At 42.3% G+C, this 15,681-nt stretch overlaps 1 protein-coding gene across 2 annotated transcripts in view; it reads right to left on the reverse strand.

The window, feature by feature from the left end:
* The window catches only part of PKD1L1 (polycystin 1 like 1, transient receptor potential channel interacting), a 186,293-nt gene that overhangs the window by 64,012 nt on the left and 106,600 nt on the right, over positions 1–15,681 (reverse strand). For both annotated transcript variants that reach the window (XM_017011798.3, NM_138295.5), the window contains 6 exons: positions 14,502–14,602; positions 8,254–8,446; positions 6,370–6,453; positions 4,337–4,544; positions 1,836–1,942; positions 821–1,037 (listed from right to left, as the gene is read on the reverse strand). In XM_017011798.3, coding sequence (XP_016867287.1) covers positions 821–1,037; positions 1,836–1,942; positions 4,337–4,544; positions 6,370–6,453; positions 8,254–8,446; positions 14,502–14,602 — 910 coding nt within the window. The remainder of the gene's footprint in view (positions 1–820; positions 1,038–1,835; positions 1,943–4,336; positions 4,545–6,369; positions 6,454–8,253; positions 8,447–14,501; positions 14,603–15,681) is intronic.

The raw sequence follows: 15,681 nt of genomic DNA on the forward strand, positions 1-15,681 counted from the left end.
TCCCAGCACTTTGGGAGTCCGAGGCAGGAGGATCACAAGATCAAGAGATCAAGACCAATCTGGCCAACATGGTGAAACCCCATCTCTACTAAAAATACAAAAATTAGCCGGGCATGGTGGCGTGTGCCTGTAGTCCCAGCTACTCGGGAGGCTGAGGCAGGAGAATCACTTGAACCCGGGAGGCAGAGGTTGCAGTGAGTCGAGATCGTGCCACTGCACTCCAGCCTGGCAGTAGAGTGAGACTCCATCTCAAAAAAAAAAAAAAAAAAAAAGAAAGAAAGTGCAAAATGCATGACATTATCATCACAATTGTATGAAATGTGTTTGTATATAGGGAAAGACGGAAAGGACATGCAAAAATCACGACTTCCATGGTTAGTTTGTGAGGTTATCTGTTATTCTGTCACTCTGGCTATCTCCTGCCATCCTGGACCTGACCACATCTATACCACATCTGTAATTACTCTATTGATAGTTATCTAGGTTGTTTGGGACACACATAGGGCACTGAAAAGTCTTTAATTACAGGGCTCTGGACATCACAGACCACCAGCAACCATAAATTCCAGCAATGCTATTACAATTACAGAGAAGCATTACTACAATAATTAATAATTGTGAAGGGTAATTAATCCATGCTTGGATGGCCACTCAATGAATGTATCATTTAATATTTTGATATCGTGGTAATTAACTAAGAAAAGAGGAATACACTTTAGAAGAGTTCAAAGACACAACTGTGGCAAGCGAAGCAGAGACAGGTGCCATGCTCTGCCGGTCAGCCAGGTGCGCCACGAGAGGCCACCTGGAGGGAGCCTACCTTCCGGAAGCCGAGTCCCCCTTGCAGACAGGTGAGCTCCCGCTCCACGCGACCATCATGCCTGCCGGCAGACAGCCAGCACTGGGCAGGGAAGAACCAGCCCTGTCCCGTGTGCAGCTCCTTCACCATCACGTGGCTGATGAACCAGCCTGGGGAAGGCCCACGGCTGTCGTGCCAGAGGCGGATCTTCCTCAGCAGGCCCAGTTGGGCAGGAGCGCTGGAGGCACACACAGCAGCATCTCAGCCGGGTGGGTGACAGTGTGGTCCTGGCATCCCATCAGCCCCAATGCTCACCCTCAAGGCACTGATGGCCCACAGAGGGTGGATGGGACATGTCAAAGGTGACTGACATGCAGAGTGACATGTGAAGCCCCCTGGAACCCGGCCAGAGGATGGGAAATCCCACCGAGCACAGTGACCCTGCACTCAGGCCTTCAATATCCACCAGCTTTCCCAAACCAAAGTTACACAAATCTCGTTCATGTATTTGTCTCTGGTGTGGATTAGTCTAAAGTTAACCTTTTCTCTCTTAATGAAGACATAATACTCCAAACCTATAAATATCATACATGAAATTTACCAGGAGAAAAAATAATTTAGCTCAGTCCTTTCATATTTTCTAAGACGCCAGGTGCTTGCATCCTATCTTGTTAAATTCACTCTTTCTCCAACCCCACCATCTTTGTGACACCATGTGTCACAAACTGGGGACAAACCTAATTAAGGTCAGAAGGTTTAGTGTCATAGAAAACACTGATTATGAACTTTACTAGTATGTAAAATCAGTAAGTCTTCTTTCCCCACCCTCCTTCCTTCCTTGCCTCGCATAAACCTATTGTTTAATCTACTCAGAATAATAAACTAAAAATACATCATAAAATTGTTTGTATATAAATCGATGCTCACTATTAGAGACCAATGTTATGTATTCTACTGTTTTGTATTTGTGATAAGGTTACACCAATTCTGATTGGCCTCTCTTTCCCAAATCTAGCAGTGAAATATTTTGGAATACCTCAGGATAAAGGTGTGTCTGGAATTCCTTTCAAACAGGGGCTTCTCTGGACAGGAGAGCTCCTTGGTTTCTGACAGTCCATTGTCGCCACATAAAACAATGTACACCTCAAAACAAAGAACAGGGGTGGGAACTCAGGCTATTTCACAGCAGACACCATGCAATGCTGGGCAGGGCTTCCTCGCACTTTCTCCCAGCGTCCCACCCTTCCTCAAAACCATCTGCACGGTGGAGTGCCACAGCCTAGAGCCAGGGGATGAGTGGGCACGTCCAGTCCCAGGCTTCCCTGGAGAGCCAGAGGAGAGCCTCGAAGTGGAGCCTGGTAGAATTGGCCATTTCCTCACCTATTTGATCTAGAAAAGCCAGATCCCAACTAGGATTCGGGAGGGCATTTGTTTTCTCATGAGGGCGGGAGAACACCACGGTGGGCACACCATTTTCCTCCCTGTGGTTTGGCAGGGAGATGCCAGAGGAGCCTGGACGCAGAGTAGGGTACCCATGCACCTGTGGGCACACCCTGGGGAGGCACATGACAATCTGGCTGGGCTTGTCGTTCTCACTGGTATCTTCTGTCACACAGAAATGAACAATTCTGATGTAATGTCACTTATCAAATTTTCATTTAAGAAAGATATTTCTGTTTCTGAAATCCTTCCTTACTCGAAAGTGTATATTTTCTTTGACTAGTTTCTAAACTTTGTGTTTTCACCTTTCTGTCTCTAATGTTCTGGAGTTCATTTTTTGTGTGTATGATGTAAAGATTTAATAGTACCTTTTTCTACAAGGGCAGCTATTGTTCCAAAATATTTTTTGAAACAGTGCACCCTTTCCTGTGGTTTGTAAGACCTCTAGTCTTCCCTAGAAATCCCTCCTCAGTACCTCTCCCGAGGTCATGACACGATCTCAGGTGCTACAGTTTCAAAATAAGCCTGGATATCGAGTTGGGAGGCCCCTGCCTTGTTCTTCTCTTGAGAGTTGGCATGACTGGTCTTGTAATTCTCTTGTATTCTTTTCTACCTGAATTTTAGGATCAGTTTTCCAAGTTCCACAAAACACTGTCCTGGAATTATGAATAGATTTAATTGGATTTAACCTCATTATGCCTTAGGTTTTCATTTGTAAAGGGGGTATATTAATAGAATTTCATTCACACTATTATTATTAATGTTATAGATTAATTTGGGAGAAATGACAAAGGAAAATCGGCTTTCTCATCCATGAACATAGCTCTTTATTTGGATCTCTTATGCATATCAGGGATAGTTCCTTCATGATGGTCTTGTATGTGGGGTTTGATGAATTCACTTCTAGGCACCCCACCATTTTTTACTGTGACAAAGAGGTTCTTGTTTTCAACTCCATGTTATAAATAGTTATTGCTGTTTTATAGAGATTATTTTGATGATTTTTTCTTAATCACAAATTCAGCAAGTTTCTTTAATGTTATTAGTGCTAATCATTAGAGTGAAGATGCTTCTTCATTTGCTATGTAGACAACCTCATCCTGTACGAAGAACCATCTCTTTCTCCCTTTTGGAAACTTATATTCCTGTTTTATTTCTTGCTTTATTGTTTTTAACCAGGATTTCTAGTACAATGATAAATAGCAGTGCTGACAGCAGACATCCCTTAGAAATCATCTAAAGCTTCACCACTAAATCTTCCTTTGTTAGGTTAAGAACATTCCTATGTGTATGCATTGCTTGTGAATATATACATGTATGTTTATCTGAAAGACAATTTAAATATACAGTTGGTAGACGAAGGGCTTATGGTGAGTAAGGACCACATAAGCTTTAAAAATGTGTTGTGTCCCCATCTATCCTACTGCACTGTGGCACCCCATCTTATTCATCCTCCCATCTAACTCTTTCTCATCCACACCCCAATCCTATTGCTTCCATAAAGTAACCATGGTTCCCTCGGGAAATGGAAGCGTGAGTTCCAAGGGCAGAGGGAGTCTCCCTCTCTGAGGGATTTGTGTCACACGCACTTCGAATTGCACATGGCTCTGCCGGGCTCAATTTCTGCCCCTGCAGACCTCACCTCCACAGCTCACCGCGGCACCCCTGCTCCACTGGGCCCAGTGCTAGACTATTTCCTCCTCCTCCACCGCATCCTTCTTCCCACCCCATCTTCATCCTCCACCAGCTTCTCTGGGACTGTTGTCTTCAGCCCCAAGCTCAGAAGAGTACAACTCATTCTCAGAGTCTCAAAGATCCACTCAGAGACAGAACATATCTCCCCGGGCTGCTTTCCACAGTGGAGACAGAAGGAGAAGGGATTGGAGCAGCTGCAGAAGGTGAAGGGGTCTGCTCTTCACCCTGACAGATGTGCAGGCCAAGGGAGGGCAGTGGAAAGGGCGGGCAAGCTTTGCCTCAGCAATGAGATGAGGCTGCTGTGACAGGTGACAGACGGGGCAGCCAAATCACCAAATCCTCACTTCTGATGTTGACACTGCTTAGACACCATCAAAGAGTACCCCCAGATGCTCGAGCTACCTTTGAGGTCAACCTGGCCGGAGCTCGGAAGCCAGTGTCAATGACGACCGCATATAGCTGATGGCCCGGCAGGGAAGCTTCTTGCAGAAAGATGTAACCAGCTTTCTTTTTTTCATGATGATCTACTTGTCTACTTTTAGCGACCAAAAATCCATAAAGAATCACAGAACCCATAATAAAAATACTGGGAAGCAAGTTTTCTGGGTGGCTATAAACAAAAGGAGAGATATAAAGAAAATTGCTCATGAAAATAGACATATAGGAAAAGACTGATTGCCACCCCTAGCCCCTTACACACAAAAGTCCCTGCTGGGCTTCACTGATACATTTTTACACTTGCTGGAAGCTGAGTTAGAAGGGCTTTGAAGGCAGGGAGCTGGCCTGTGGTCCAGTGAGCAGCACCCCACAAGCATGGACTCCAGAACCAAAGAAACCTTGTAATGGACCAGCCTCTGTGCTAGGTGGCTGTGCCATGCTGGGTCTGAGGAACTTTCATTGTGAACTATGGCTAAGAATGCCAGTCTCGCTGCTATTGTAAAGATTAAGCAATACAAATATACAAAATTCTTGAAACATGCAGGTGCCATTATGTTCCTCCCTCTCTCCCTCTCCTGCTAGCAGAACAAGGCTAGGAGGCATTGGCAATGTTTTGGAGACCCTGCCTGTGCCTCCCACCGCCCCTGTGGATGGTGCTGCTTGTTCCCTACCTGTAGCCTCTACCTACCTGTTCCCAGGCACCAACACTGGCTGGGGTGAGATCACTGAATGCCCACAGTTCCGTAGAATGACATTCATATCAAGCTGCTGTGCAGGGACTCTAACCTAACTGGAGTCTTACAGATTTGTGATGGGATCTCAGAGGGTGGGCACCAGGGTCTATGTCACACGGGGATGTTGCCCGCCCCATCCCCTAGCATTCTGCTCTTTGATTTAATCTGAGGATTGGGCTCTGCTCTTGGTTTCTCACCTGCCCTCTTTTTTCCCACCAAGATAGAGCCTGTTCAGAGCTCTGCCCCACGAGCTCTGCAGGGTGCTCACATCCTTCCACCTGGACAATACTCTGAAACCTTTCGGATTCTGGCCAGATAGCCCCTGTAGAACTTCAGGTGTTGCCTCTCTCTGGACATCTTCCAGGGCTGCTTCCCCCATGGTTTGCCCCAGCCCCAGTGGTATCAATGCCGCAGACACCATGGTTGAGGCTGCTGTCTTCTGAGCCCTGATCACTGAATGGCCAGTGACCTGTTCTGCACCCAACATCTGTTGCATTAGCAATTCATATCTTATTTACTAATTATCTGGTCCACCAACTAGTCTATAAAGTAATACGATTGATGAAATAATAAAGTAAGGTAGAGTTTCTTACTATATGAATATAAGGAGAAAAAAATTTAACACTCAACACCCCAGAAAATGCAGACTCTGCCCTAGATATTCATTCAGCAAATATTTACTCTAAGCATTGTATTAAATGTAGGGTGACACTGATGAATAAGACAGGGAAGGTTCCTGTCCATATCAGCTTACATTCACTTTACTCATATCTCAGAGTCTAAATATAACCATTTCATATAAAAGTGGCTATAAAAATAGTGTACATTTTAAATCTATTATCTAAAATGGGATACTCCAGAGAGAGAAAGAGGGAGCTATTAATAATTAGGCTGTGACAATAAACATAAACCAGGACAGGCTCTTTAGGTATTATTGTCACTGTAGATATCAACCCTATCAATAATAATTGACCAAATTCACACTGAACTAAAACTAAACTTAAAAGTATGAAAAGTATGTTGACTTTCTTGTGTTTACAAATCTCTCATCAGTGAATTCAAGTATAGAGAGACAAGATATATAAGTATATATTCAACTATATAATATTTAAAGATAATTATCTACTAATATGCACATTTCAAAAATGCAATGATAGTAAGTAACATGGATTTCAAGCACCCCCGGAATTATATGTGGGCATCCTGAGTGAACAGTAAAACAAATAAAGTCTATGAAGTCTTTATGTAGGAAATGGAACTTACCTCTGTAGCTTGGAAATGTCACTCACTTCAAAACTGGCCTTCAGCTTTCTCCTTAGGAGAGCGAATGCCGCGAGGCGATGGTAGCTAGGAGGGAAATGCGGATGAGGATACAGAATGTGTGGAGAGAGCAGCTGTTGACAGTGTAATGGCATGTTGGTTAAAGGAATGAGAAAAGGAAGAAAGAGTGCAATAATGATAACTTTATGACTAAGACCCAGTTTAAAAGATTCACCTGACACCTAAGTTAGAAATGAGGGACACTTCTGATGTGCCAGAGTTCTTCACATCTGCGTGTTGGGGCACATGGCTCCCATGGAGGCTGTCCTGAGATGCAAGACTCCACAGCATATGGCGGTCTTCATGACAGCCCTCCACAGCATGGCTGCAGCCTGAGGCTCTCGGGTCCCAGTCACAGCCTAGCTGTGCTGCTGGTCAAGCTCTGGCCAACTCCTCTGCCTAAGCACCAGTTCCTGGCATTACAAATATCCTACCCTGACAATCACTGTAAACACTGTCTCCTTTTTTAAAAATAAAGTCTATCTCACCCTCATTATCTTGTGAGCAGGTCCTAGGTGTTATTGATTTATTTTAAATTTTTTGTTTGTTTGTTTTTGAGATGGAGTCTTGTTCTGCTGCCCAGGCTGGAATGCAGTGGCGTGATTTCAGCTCACTGCAACCTCTGCCTCCCAGGTTCAAGCGATTCTTGTGCCTCAGCCTCCCAAGTAACTGGGATTGCAGGTGTGTGCCCATCTAATTTTGTATTTTTAGTAGAGATGGGGTTTCGCTATGTTGGCCAGGCTGGTCTCAAACTCCTAACCTCAAGTGATCCACCTGTCTCAGCCTCCCAAAGAGCTGAGATTACAGGCATGAGCCACCACGCCTGGCCTGTTATTCATTTTTGTACCCTTGGCTCATAAAAAAGTGCCTAGCAGAGAGTAGTTACGTAATGGAGAATGAATGATTGCATTAATGCATTTATCAATAATTTAATATGGAAGCAAAATATTGGGCCATTACCAGTAAGTTTGGATGTGCTCCTAGCAATGGCATTAGAAAAATTTAAGAGTGTAACATAAGAAAATCAATAAATGGCTATGAATTGCACTGCTACGGTATGATCTGGATATATTTGCCTCCTAGCAGGAAATCACAAAATATAATGTCTTATGGCTTATTTGTTTTTTAAAAGGAAATGACTATTTCTGCTTCTAAATATGACTAATAATTGTTTATCCTAATGAAAAGGTAAGGGCAACAAAAAAGAATGATCTGAGCCTCTTATAGAATTGTTAGTCTGTCAGCTAGATGACAAACAATTTCTAATTTAGTGACATGACTCATATGCCCAGAAATTCCTGAGGAGGCTGTTCATGTTTGCGCAGAGACTTTTCTTGCCTCAGAAAGCACACCTTCACCACCAGGCTGTGGAGGGTCCTCTGAAGATGAGGGACTCTCAGGGCAACATGGGGGCATGGTGAGAGCTGAGGGTCCCACCTGCCTGACTACAAACTGCGTACTCAAAGGATGTCAGCACTTCTATGATAAGAAAACTGACAGGTTCATCTATCACTCATCCACCGACTCATGTCTTCAACAGACACTTACTAAACACCTCCTCCATGACAGTCGGTACGGGAAGGAGGAATACGAGGACAGTCTATAAAGCAGCCCTTGCTCCTTGGGAGCCCATAGAGTGGGAGAACCAAGGCTGACACACGAACTGGCTATGAGAGAACTGACACAGGCTGGAGAGTTGTACAAACCAAGAGAGCTCCAGCTTCTTATGGACAAGGTTCAGGAAAGGCTCTAGGGGTTGGGCCAAATGCAGAAGACAAGGCAGTCATTTACTAAAAATCTCAGATTCTTTCTCAAATGTGTCTATACCTGCAGTTCACTTTTTCAGGAGAAGTCCCTGGTTGTGGAGAGAAACGTTCAGATTTCCACTCTCTCTTGTCCCAAAACAGGCATCGGATCCACTGGAAATGTACTGTATAGTTCACTGCCTTAGCTAAATATCTGTTTGGAGGTTTTCTGTCATAGTCAGCATCCAATAAGGATAAATAGCCTACACTGGCATCTAAAAAGAGAAAACATAAATAAAAAGTACAACCTGAGGTTTGCAGAAAGGCATTCTCCATTTCAAACGCAGACAGAGTAGGCAGATAGGTGGGGACAAGGACTACAGATGAGCAAGAACTGAAAGACAGCATCAAATTCTAGCCATTTCCTGTCCCCGAAGCATTTAAATTTGGATTAAATCCACCCAGTCAAAGCTCCTGGATGCAGATACGAATTGAGGAATGGTAGAGAATTGGGAAGAAAAACAGTGTTTCTAGCATCCCGTATGTTCCAAGTGCCCCCTGACACCCTGAACAGGCCACACCCCCTGACCTTAGTGGGGATGGAAGAGGGTTGAGTCAGTTTCTTTAGCTGCCATTCAAGCCCACTTCCTGCTCCTCGCCAGTTTGTCAGCCAGCCTGCGAAATTTCAGTATACCCAGGGTCTAAACCCATTCTGGTAAGGACAGCACAATGACCCATGGAGTTTTAGCCTATCATTTTTTTTTTATGTTTAGCCTACTTTTTATATTTAGAAGCAGAAGTATTTAACATTCTACTTATTTAAAAATTGCCCAAGACTTTTTAATAAGTGGTGTTGGGACAACTAGACATTAGCCCTTTGTAAAAATATGGGCACCTCATGCTATAAAAAATAATAATAAACATTAGCAAATCAGATATCTAAATATGAAAGAAAAAACAAAAACAAACTGCACAAGTACTGAGGAACACATGAATGACTTCTTTTATAATCTGGACATAAGAAATAAATTTTGAACGATGGTTCAAAATCTAAGAGTCTTACAAGAAATGGTGGATAAATTACTATTTTAAAAATAGCCCTAACATATAAAGAGCTCTTAAACATCAAGAAAAAACAAACTCAATACAAAAGTGGGCATATATGAACAATTCACAGAAAAAAAGTGGATAATGGCTTTAAATATATGAAAAAATACCCAACTTAATTCATATAAAATGCATATTAAAATGAACATTTCTCAATTATAAGACTGGCAAAACTCAATAGCTTGAAAATACATCCTTTTGGCAAAGACGTGGGAAAACAGGCAGCTTCAGACACTGCTGGAGGTAAACGTGACAATACTTACCAAAACCACATAGGCATTTACCATCCGACCCAGGAACAGCCTATCTAGGAATTAAACTTGAAGATACACTCCTCCCCCTACATGTAATACAGTATATGCACAAGTCTTCCATGTGAATACATAGGAGACTGGCTGAATAAACTACGGTCCATCTATACAATGGAGAAGCACATAGCAGTTAAAAAAAAAAGATATCGATGAATAAATACATACGGAGTGATTTCTAAATATGTAATTTAAGTAAGAAAAGCACAATGCAAATGAGTGTAAGAAATAAGGGGAAATAATGTGGGTATGCATGGGCTTATTTTCCCAAAAAGAAACATCAGGAAAACAATTCCCATAAAATTATAATCATCGAGGCTGGGCGCAGTGGCTCACGCCTGTAATCCCAGCACTTTGGGAGGCTGAGGTGGACCACCTGAGGTCGGGAGTTCGAGACCAGCCTGACCAACATGGAGAAACTCTGTCTCTACTAAAAATACAAAATTAGCCGGGTGTGGTGGCGCATGCCTGTAATCCCAGCTACTCAGGAGGCTGAGGCAGGAGAATCACTTGAACCCAGGAGGTGAAGGTTGTGGTGAGCCAAGATCGTGCCATTGGACTCCAGCCTGGGCAACAAGAGTGAAACTCCAGTCTCAAAAGAAAAAAAAAATTATAATCATTGTTCTTCACAGAACTAGACAAAACAATCCTAAAATTCATATGGAATCACATAGCCAAAGCAATACTAAGCAAAAGGAACAAATCTGGAGGCATCACATTACCAGACTTCAAACTATACAACGAGGCTATAGTTACCAACACAGCATGCTACTGGCATAGAAATAGGCATGTAGACCAATGGAACAGAATGCAGAACCCAAAAATAAGGCCAAATACCTAAAGCCAATTGATTTTTGACAAAGCAAACAAAAACATAAAGTGAGGAAAGGACACCCTATTCAACAAATGGTGCTGGGATAATTGGCTAGCCACGTGTAGAAGAATAAAACTGGATCCTCATCTCTCATTTTATGTAAAAAATCAACTCGAGCTGGATCAAAGACTTAAATCTAAGACTTGAAGCTGTAAAAATTCTAAAAGATAACATCAGAAAAACTCTTCTAGACATTGGCTTAGGCAAATAATTCATGACCAAGACCCAAAAGCAAATGCAATGAAAACAAAAATAAATAGATAGGACCTAGTTAAACCAAAAAGCTCCTTCAAAGCAAAAGAAATAATCAGCAGAGTAAGCAGACAAGCAACAGAGTAGGAGAAAAAATTTGCAAACTATGCATCTGACAAAGGACTGGTATCCAGAATTCATAAGGAACTCAAACAAATCGCAAGAAAAAACAAATAACCCCATCAAAAAGTGGGCAAGGACCTGAACAGACAATTCTCAAAAGAAGATATGTAAATGGCTAAAAAATACTCAACACCACTAAGTAATAGGGAAATGCAAATTAAAACCACAATGAGATACCATCTTACTCCTGCAAAAATGGCCATAATTTTTAAAAGTCAAAAAATAATAGATTTTGGTTGTGTATGTGGTGAAAAGGGAATACTTTTACACTGCCTGTGGGAATGTAAACTAGTACAACAGAACCAACCTAAATGCCCATCAACCTACGAGTGGATAAAGAAAATATGGTATGTATGCACCATGGAATACTACTCAGCCATAAGAAGGAACAAAATAATGGCATTTGCAGCAACCTGGATGGAGTTGGAGACCATTATTCTAAGTGAAGTAACTCAGGAATGGAAAACCAAATATTTTATGTTCTCACTTATAAGTGGGAGATAAGCTATCAGGATGAAAAGGCATAAGAATGACATAATAGGACTTTGGGGACTTAGGGGTAAGGATGAGGGGGTGAGAGATAAAAGACTACACATAGGGTGCAGGGTATACTGCTCGGGTGATGGGTGCACCAAAATCTCACAAATCACCACTAAGGAACTTATTCATGTAACCAAAAACCACCTGTTCCCCAAAAACTACTGAAATAAAATAAAATAAAGGAAACAAATGAAAACAATTACCTATAAGGACTAGGTGATAACAAGGTATAAGAATAAGGCTGTTGAAAGATTTAGCTCTGAATACATACATCTTTAAATGTGCTTTAGACATCTGAACAATAAAAATGTCTCACAAATTCAAAACATAAATTAATGTTAAAAAATGGGGACGGGCGCCGTGGCTCACGCCTGTAATCCCAGCACTTTGGGACGCCAAGGAGGATGGATGACCCGAGGTCAGGAGTTCAAGGCCAGCCTGACCAACATGGTGAAACCCTGTCCCTACTAAAAATACAAAAATTAGCTGGGTCTGGTGGTGCATGCCTGTAATCTCAGCTACCCACAAGGCTGAGGCAGGAGAATCGCTTGAACCCAGGAGGCAGAGGTTGCAGTGAGCCGAGATCACACCATTGCACTCCAGCCTGGGCAACAAGAGCAAGACTCTGTCTCAAAAAAAAAAAAAAAAAAAAGGATAAAAGTAAGGCTTAGCATTAAGTACATGCAAAAAAGTGAACCTAGCTGTATATAAAACGTATAGCAAAAACCCACAGAGAAAATAATTAATTCAACTAACTTTTGACTATGTGCTCTTACTGTAATATATCATGTAAGAATGTAAAGTCAAAACTAAACAAAAAATCTAGAAAGAAATATTGAACTTTATCTGGTAGGTTTGTGATTGTTAGGGGTACAGGTGCTTTAATTCTAAAACGATTTGGTGTATACTGTAGGATAGAGCAAAGTGAATTTTGCTCTTTGGAAACTGGCTCTCAAGTTCTCATATTTTGGCAACTGGAATTCTCACTGTAGGAGAATGGGGATCTGAACACACAATGGGAGAAAGTAATAAGGAACCCTGGGTGTTGGATTTGAATTAAGGCATTGTGATTAACTCATTTTACACACACATACACACACACACACAGACGTTAAATCAGTGACGCCCCAATAGCAATGAGCAAATGTGATGCGCAGTTCTTGTGTTCTAATGTCATTTCCCATCAATGAGCCAAGCCTCATTGAGGACATGGCCGGTTCCAAGGAAGGGCTGGCCAAACACAGGATAAGCCAGGACACGCTGGTGTCCCAGAAAGTAAAGAAGCACTTGAGGATTGTGATGTCATGTCAAGAAAACCTCAGGAAGCATCTTGGAGGAGCTCCCACTGGAATAATTTGTGCATCAAAAAGTAAAATAATGGAGGTGAACTAAACACATTGAATTTTTTTTTTAACACATTGAATTTTTAAGAAACACCATGCACCATAGAGACAAGAGAGCAAGAGTAAGACAGAGAGAGACTGAAGCTCTTCTTTACTGAAGAATGCCAGCTAATTCATGGTGGAATTAGCAAATCACCGTTTTGTAGCCTTCTATGTACCTATATCACCCATGGATCCTTAAAATCATGGGGTGACAGTTTGTAAGGCAAGAAGATACTAAGGTGGTCTCAAAAGTATCATCTCACAAAGGGGAAAATGGAGAGATTGGAGGTTCTTTCCCCAAGCAAATTACCAAACTTAGCACCATCGCCTATGGAATATGCTGCCAATCATCTGTGAACTGAATTTAATCATGAGGAAACAGTCAGGCAATTTCCTGAATGTACAACATGCAGAAAATAACTAACCTAAGCTCATAAAAAAAAGTCTGAAAAAAAGGCAAAAATTGGGAGGGTGTTGTAGATTTTTAAAGGGACTATATAAAAACACAGCAACAAAATGCATTCATGAACTTTGACCTACTTCTGATTAAAAAATATAAAGAGCTATAGAAGGCATTTGGGGGGATTTTAAAAATTTAAATGTGGATAACAGAATAGATATTCTTGAATTAATGTTGATTTCTTTTCCTTATGATAATGTACTGAGTTTTGTAGGGAATGCCCTTGTTTTCATGAGATGTTTAAGTATTCAGGGGTGGTATGTCATGGGGCCTGCAACTTTCTCTCTAACGGCTTGTCCTCTCCCTCAAAAACATCCCCCACCCACATGTGCACACCTGTACACATGCAGATAAGGCAAATGTGGCAGAAATCAACAAATGGTGAATCTCAAGGAAAAGGATATGGGTATATGTTGTGCGTATTTTTCTAATTTTCTATCAGCTTGAAATTACAATAAAAACTGTGAAAAAGAACACATGAAATGCAACATTAAAAAATACCATTGAGAATTTGAATTTGATGAGCAATACAGTTTGATTCATTTTTAAAAGAAACAAATACTGGTTCTCAGAAGAAAATAACTATATCCCAGTAAACATGTAGAGACAATGGGTCTGGCGCACTCACTGACAGTCAGAAGCCAGCTCCTCTCCAGGGCCAGGGCCTGTGGAAGTCAGTGTAAGGCGCGTGTCTGGTGAGTTGCCTGTGGGTGCCACTTCAGCCCACTGAGCTCCAGTTTCTTGCTTTTTTGGGGAAGGGGTTACTGAGGCTCAGAATCCTAAGCCACCAGGGGCAGACCACGGAGAAGGGGTGAGCCCCAAACTTCACACTCTGCCCCCACACTGCTTCAGAGGGGGTCCTGTGCCCTATTGATACGTGAGACACAGAGACGTCTCAGAAGTCCTGGGTCAACTCTGAGGTCAGGGAAGCTCAGCAGAGGTTAGTTTGAGGGAAGCAAGGCAGGAGGGTGCTTCAGGCAAAGACTTAGCCTGAGCACAAGCAGAGCCCTAAGGATCAGGAGGAGGCGCCAGAGACCACCTGGGAAGAGATGGGTAGGGCAGTGAGCAGCACCAGCCACTGCATCACAAGGATGGCGCTCATCATGGGGCAGTTTCCATGTGTGGGATCTATAGTGGAGCAGTTTGTTTATAAGCAAGCAGAGAAAGGATTCTGATGTTTTTGTCATGAATAAAGAAAAACACCACTATACATACAAAGGTTATAGGGGATGTTTTAATCATGTAAACAGAAAGGGAAAATAAGGCGCCCTGTTCACTGACCTTTCTGAGAAGCAGCAGGTATATAAATCTGCACAATTGACTCATCCCAGAAGTAGATCTGCTTCACAAGAAAATCAGAGGGAGTAGGTTTCTCAGAGAATCTAGGAGATAAAAACAAAATAGGGATTTCTCATTTTTTTCTTCTCTCTCAAAGGTTTTAGTCAAATTTCTATCAAGAGTTTACTCAATTTGTGCAAAACATCCTTGTCACTGCAAGGAGGTAGCCTGGGACTAAAAAGGGTCAATGTGCTTAATTCCACAACACCACCTGGTCTCTTAGTAAAAACTCCTACATAACACTTTCACCCTGCATCTCATTAAAAACAAACACTTTGGCCAGGCACGGTGGCTCACACCTGTAATCCCAGCACTTTGGGAGGCCGAGATGGGCGGACCACCTGAGGTTGGGAGTTTGAGACCAGCCTGACCAACATGGTGAAACCCCATCTCTACTTAAAAATACAAAATCAGCTGGGCGTGGTGATGCGCACTTGTAATCCCAACTACTCGGGAGGCTGAGGCAGGAGAATCACTTGAACCCGGGAGGCAGAGGTTGCAGTGAGCGGAGATCACACCATTGCACTCCAACCTGGGCAACAAGAATGAAACTCTGTCTCAAAAACAAACAAACAAACAAACCAAAAAAAAAAAAAAAAAACACCAAAAACCAAACAAACACTTCAGTAGCAAACAAGTACAAGAATGGCCAGCACAGTCTGTAGGAATAAGACAAACAGCACTGGCTACACGTGGTTAGGGAGGGGCACTGCAGCACCCACACGTATGTTTGCATGTTTGTGTTAACTCTTTACCGTAACCTGTTTGCAGATAAAAGATAGCAAGCACAAAACTAGACTAAGTAGTAGTCTTAGTAGTTAGACTCAGAAATTCCTCAGAACTGATTTACCTTTTCTGCATGTGACTTAAAGAATTAAATTAAAATCCAAACTCTAAGCAGACAGCCACTTTTAGACATCGAATGCTTAGCTCATTTGGCAGAATGAGAGTCAGGCCAATAAGCAGAGATTAAACTGCGTGCTAAGGGCTGTGTGGACAGCGCCTGTGTAAGATACAGCCTTGCTCACGAGAACCCTTTAATCTAGTTGAGATGCCCACCTAACCAACCAGGAGCAGTAGAACAGTGAGCATCTTTGCCACATAGACTAAACACACGGGGACT

Source organism: Homo sapiens, chromosome 7, assembly GCF_000001405.40.
Source record: "Homo sapiens chromosome 7, GRCh38.p14 Primary Assembly".
Classification (NCBI taxonomy): Eukaryota; Metazoa; Chordata; class Mammalia; order Primates; family Hominidae; genus Homo; species Homo sapiens.